Here is a 6,402-nt window from a genome sequence, read left to right as displayed (position 1 = left end):
TCATATCTAAAAAAGATACAATTTTTAAAAATTAATATTATAAATCTTTTTCCTACCTTCTTTGTTTTTTAATCTTACAGTAAAATCCTGGTTCCTAATAATGTTAATATATTTATTTATTTGCTTTATCCTACAGTCCACATTAAATAATTCAGAATTACAATGCCAATATTATTAACAATAAACTATCAAATGAGCTTTAAAATTTATTTTTAGTATTCATTGTCTTTAGAATATGTCCTGCTAAATATATTTAGCCAGAGAACTATATTTAAGGATTCTTTAAAATAAGTTTTTCCCAATATAGTCAGGTTATCAATTTGATATAGGTTTAGATTTATTTGTTTCAGTTTGTGTTCAACATTAGGGTTTATTTTATTCTCTCTGATTTAACTTTTTGGAGATTTCACATATGTATGAACATCCATAGACACGCACACACACACACACACACACAGAGACACACACACGGACACTACACACACACACACACACACCTCTAGTTCAAAAGTTAAGTTTATCTTTAAAAGTATTCTCAGAGATGTGTCTCTGCCAATCCTGTCCCCTTTGCTCTTTTGCCTTCCATACTCCATAGGTAACCATTTTCTTATGTCTCTTGTTATTGTCTTAGAGTATCTCTTATTTTCTTCATATGCGATAGTGAGCTCACACAATTGACTGCCCTACATTTCGCCATGACCTGGAAGAATGCACTAGGATGGCAGCCTCACATGACGGAGGAATGCTGGCCCCCAATCCACTCTAGGGAGCAATTCCCTGGACACTATTGGGCATTTTGTGAGCCTTGCTTTCAACCTGTGTGGTGCTCTGCCATGAGATTTCAGAGCTTGGTACTGCAGTGGAACCCATCTTACCCTGACCCTCTTTCCAATTCCCACTGCCACTGAGGTTACCTTAGAAAAGCATCCCTAGCACAGCAGCTGGCACATAGTCCATCCCTGCTCCAGTCCTCTCACAGACGCTGTGAAATCCCTCATTGTTTCTTTTCTGGGCTGCTGAACTAGCTTCCTAGCAAGTTTTGATTCCTGTTCTCCTACCTATTAATACAACCTTTATTTTCCCAAACGTAAGTGTAGTGAAGGGCTTACTCTCTCTCCCAATGCCATTTTCATAGTACGTATCACTCCCTGACTCTCATCCCAAAGCCCCCCTACTCTCATCCACCCATCCAAAGCCTGGTCACCCCCTGTCCTCTCTCCCACTTACTCATTGATCACATCAGCTCTGGGTCCACCACCTTCCTTGCCACCCACAATTACGCCATCAGCCTGGGTCCCTCACCATTCTCATGGATGACCCATCTGGTGTGGTCTGGGTGTTTTGTCCCCTCCAAATCCCATGTTAAATGTGACTCCCAAAGTTGGAGGTGAAGACTGGTGGGAGATGTTTGTGTCATGAGGGTGGATACCTCATAAATGGCTTGGTGCCCTCCCCATGGTAAGAAGTGAGTTCTTGCTCTGTGAGTTCATGTGGGAGCTGGTTGTTTAAAGGAGGCTGGCTCTTCCTCCCTTCTCTCTTATTCCTGCTCCTGCCACGTGATGGCTGGCTCCCCCTTTGCCTTCCACCATGATTGTAAATTTCCTGATGCCTCACCAGAGGCAGATACCGGCGCCATAATTCCTGTACAACCTGCCAAACCGTGAGCCAATCAAACATCTTTTCTTTATAAATTACCCAGTCTCAGATATTTCTTTACGGTAATGCAATGACTGCCTAACACACCATCTAAAACTCAGCCTCTTTGTTTCTTGACCTCCAGATCCTAATAATTTTTATTTTCTCTCCACTACCCATTTACGTTTAAGAAAGCACTAAACATCACAATTAAAAGTTTAAATGCTATACCAATGAACTCAAGTATCTACTAGAGTCTTCTTAGCTGATCAATAGGATGCATATTATTCATATTCTTATTCAGTGTACGTAAGAAATTCGTTACGTGAGTTTGAAGGTATGACAAGTAAACTTTTTGATTCTTTATAAAGGCTCATGCATCTGGAAAGAGCTGATCCCGGAAGCTTGATTGGCTGATTTACACAGAGCTAATGGAGCACACTTATGAGTAATGAATAATGGTGGGTGCAAGCTTGGAGACCAATGCTTCCACCATGCTCAATGGCTGCATGAGACAGGGAGCAGGTCTAAGAAGGGAGTGGGATGTCTGGAGGGAGTCTGGGGCCCTGTGGGTTGGCCAAAGCACACAAGAAAGGCAGAATAGACACAGTAGCCATGGAAAAGAAATAAAGAATCTCCAGGAGGAAGCATGTCCAATCAAGGTGTCTTCATGTGAAACGCTTTATGCTATGTTAGTCCTCTTCACTCTCTCCCCAACACAGTCTTCAGTGACTTCTTCATTTTCACCAGAGCTCTTGTACAGAGGGAATGCTGTGGACTAAATATTTGTGTCTCCCCAAAATGTATATGTTGAAATCCTAACCGCCAAGGAGGTAGTATTGGGAGGTGGGGCCCTTATTAAAGCTTTTATAGTGCCCTTATATAAGCTCCCTTGCCCCTTCGGCCATGTGAGAACACAGCAAGAAGGCACCATCTATGATGCAAGAAGCCCTCACCAGACACTGAATCTGCTGGCACCTTGATCTAGGACTCCCGAGCTCCAGAACTGTGAGTAATAAATTTCTGTTGTTTATTAGCCATTCAATTCAAGGTAAGTTGTTATAGTAGCTCAAACAGACTAAGACAGACAGTTTTGGAAGAGCTCAATGAACAGGTCTAGGGGACAGCTGACATGAGTTATGAGCCTAATGGAGTTTACAATGTCTATTAATAGTTGTTAAATAATTAATTAAGGACCACTGATGGAGTACCAAACCCCAGCCTGTCATGAGGTACTCACCTGTCTAGGTAGCCTGCTGCCTGCCCTATCACACCCCTGGAACCTCTTTTTTTTTTTTTTTTTTTTTTTTTTTTGAGACGGAGTTTTGTTCTTGTCGCCCAGGCTGGAGTGCAGTGGCACAATCCCGGCTCACTGCAAAGGCCACCTCCCAGGTTCAAGTGATTCTCCTCCCTAAGCCTCCTGAGTAGCTGGGATTACAGGCACACGCCACCATACCCAGCTAATTTTTGTATTTTTAGTAGAGACGGAGTTTCGCCATGTCAGCCAGACTGGTCTCAAATTCCTGACCTCAGGTGGTTCACCCACCTCAGCCTCCCAAAGTGCTGGGATTACAGGCTTGAGCCACTGCGCCCGGCTGCTGGAACCTCTTTGTAGAGAACAACTTGCAAGTCCAGTAGACATAGTTTGCATTTCACCTTGGCAACATGTGATACTGTAGCTCATGCCCCCCTTGTTGAAATATTATCTTCCTTGCTTCCTTAAATCTCTTCATCAGTCCCAGTTCCATGTAAGAAAACAGAAAGTCTAGGATTTCAAGAAGAAAAAAAAAATTTAATCCAAGAAATTACTTGCATAACAGAAATCACTGGATGAACTACAGAAGCAGAGGTCAGTGGACTTCTGCTGAGATCAGAGCTTAGAGGCATGTCAATAAAGCAGGATCCAGAGGCAGGGAGGCTGCTGCTGTGGCCACACTGTGCCCTCCACACCCACTTCTCTGTTTGTACAGTAGCTGGTGACAACCCACCAGAATGCTGAGTCCAGCCATCACAACCGCCCTAGCACCCAGGGCTTTGCAGCTCATGCCAGCAGTACCAGCAGGAGGAAGGTGGCCTCTGCCTTCCTGCAGCTGTCCATATCCACCTAACTGCAGAAGCTAATTATGATTTCAGGCCTTAGTTGCAAGGGCATCTGGAAGATGTTTCTGCTGCTTGTTTACGTATGTTCCAATGGCTAACACTGGAGAAAGGCTGACGTGCCAGTGGAGTGCCGGTCCACTGTGTCTGCCCAACTCACTGCGTGTTCTTCCTGCTTCCAGGATCACAGCCCTTCCTCCAGTCTTGGTTCCTCACAGGCATCTTGAACCCATTTCATGGTCTACATATTTGTTGGGCTATCTTATTCTCTTTCTTGTTTCCAACTCCCATCTACTTGCTAACATATCTCAAGCCAAGGTTGCTACCACAGATCCATCCCTGAATGTCTCACTGAAATCTCCCCTAGGACGTCTCAAAAACTTCAAGCTCTGTGTGCCAAGAGCTAAACAGATCACATGCCCCCAGATAAACATACCTTTGCCTTGGCCCCTAAGTCGGGCCACAGCATTGCCATTTATCCCATTGCAAAGGCAGGACCCTTTGCACCTGGTTTTAATTGTTTTTTCCCTCTCATGCCCAGACCAATTGCTATGAACTCCACCTGTATTGAAGCCATTCCACTCCACTGCATCAGTCTCCCTCAGACACATGCTCCATATCATGGCCAATGTCTGAAATGCAGGAGCTGAAACTGTGTCATTTTCCTCCTTAAAATCAAAGCTGGGCTAGATGCGGTGGCTCACACCTGTAATCCCAACACTTCGGGAGGCCGAGGCAAGTGGATCACCTAAAGTCAGGAATTCAAAACCAGCCTGGTCAAAATGGCAAAAACCCGTCTCTAGTAAAAATACAACAGCAACAACAACCACAAAATAGCCGGACGTGGTGGCAGGCACCTGTAATCTCAGCTACTCGGGAGGCTGAGGCAGGAGAATCTCTTGAACCTGGGAGGCAGAGGTTGCAGTGAGGTGAGATCGCGCCACTGCACTCCAGCCTGGATGACAAGAGTGAAACACTGTCAAAAAAAAAAAAATGCCTTCTGAAATGAAACATAAACCTTTGCTATGACTTAAATTGCACATCATGATCTGATTCATGCTCGCCCTCTCAGCCACATTACCTGCTTCTCTCCCATTGTTTCACCCTGAACCTTAATAAGCTGTCTTCAGCTTCCCAAATGCACGAAGCTCTCTCCCACCAACATAGTTTTGCACATTCTCCTCCGTCTACCCTGACTTGTTTTCCTAACTTCGCCCACCTGTTTCCTGACATCCTTGAGTGTCAGCTTAGCTGTCCCTAGGAAGCATTTCTCAAGCTGGCAGATCTGAGTAGGTGGACCTTTAATATCCTCCCAGGAGCCTGGTCCTGATGCCTGTATTATCTGGGGACTTGAAATTCAGAGACAGCAAGAACAGTCCTGCGGAGTTGACAATGCCTGGCCCACAAGAAACCTCTCCGAAGAATGCCATTTCTCAGAACCTGTTGATGGCCCAGCATTTCCTGCCAGTTAAATCCTGTATTCCAGAGCCTTCCTATGGTAACAACTGTGCAGCCTACAGCCGTCTGTCTTGGCTCTGCAGCTGCCCTCCCTGTGAAGAGCTAGCCCTTTCCTCGGTGCCTGAGAGTGCATCGCACCTTCTCGCATCTGTGTTTTCATTGATACACTCTTTTTCTGGGATTTCCTACCTTCTCTTTTCAGGCTGCCAGAACCCTTCTCAGTCTTTGAATCCTGCACCAAGCAAACCTCTTCCATGAAGCTTTTCCTCATCCCCTAGGCAGGGCTTGGTTCTTCCTGTCTTTGGGCTCATTGGTACTTTGTTTTACCTTCTCTGAGGCCCACTGAACTCTACCACAACACTGGCTTTTCCTCCCACCTAGACTGAAAGACAAAAGCTCTCAGGTGTGGGCCGGGCGCGGTGGCTCACGCCTGTAATCCCAGCACTTTGGGAGGCCAAGGCGGGCAGATAATGAGATCAGGAGATCGAGACCATCCTGGCTAACATGGTGAAATCCCATCTCTACTAAAAAAAATACTCAAAAAAGTTAGCCGGGCGTGGTGGCGGGCACCTGTAGTCCCAGCTACTCGGGAGGTTGAGGCAGGAGAATGGCGTGAACCCGGGAGGCAGAGCTTGCAGTGAGCCGAGATCGCACCACTGTACTCCAGCCTGGGTGACAGAGTATCAAAAAAAAAAAAAAAAAGTGTACAGGTATGGTGTCTGACGAATCCCTGTGTTTCATGGAGCAGACGGTCGCATGAGCCACTTAGTAAAGACTGAAGGTCATTCTTTTTAAATATCCTAAAAAGCAAGGAAACTGCTCTTCTGACTATCAAAGAAGAAAAGATGTGTCAATAAGCCACAGAATTCCTTACAGCCTTTGAAAAACTAGTCTGATTCATGTCGATGCCATGGGAGAGGACCCATTCCTCTCTAACTACTGATGTGGAGAGAAATCTCTGCTCTCACTTCTGTTCTCACCATTTTATACTTAAACAACTTCAATGGAATACCAGGATAATCACTGCATACTATTGGACAGATTTTTCTACTGAAAGAAATCTGTATGAGTAATGAAAGAAACAAGAAAAATCCTATCACATTTGTGTGTATTAGAAGGAGAGCAGTTGGAATTAATGAAAAGTCAAAATCCACATGCATGGGTTCCAACCAGCAATGTGTATTGCAAACTCACCCTGGCCCCATCAGAGGA

Source organism: Homo sapiens, chromosome 15 (assembly GCF_000001405.40).
Source record: "Homo sapiens chromosome 15, GRCh38.p14 Primary Assembly".
NCBI lineage: Eukaryota > Metazoa > Chordata > Mammalia > Primates > Hominidae > Homo > Homo sapiens.
Note: the sequence above shows the minus strand (reverse complement) of the source record.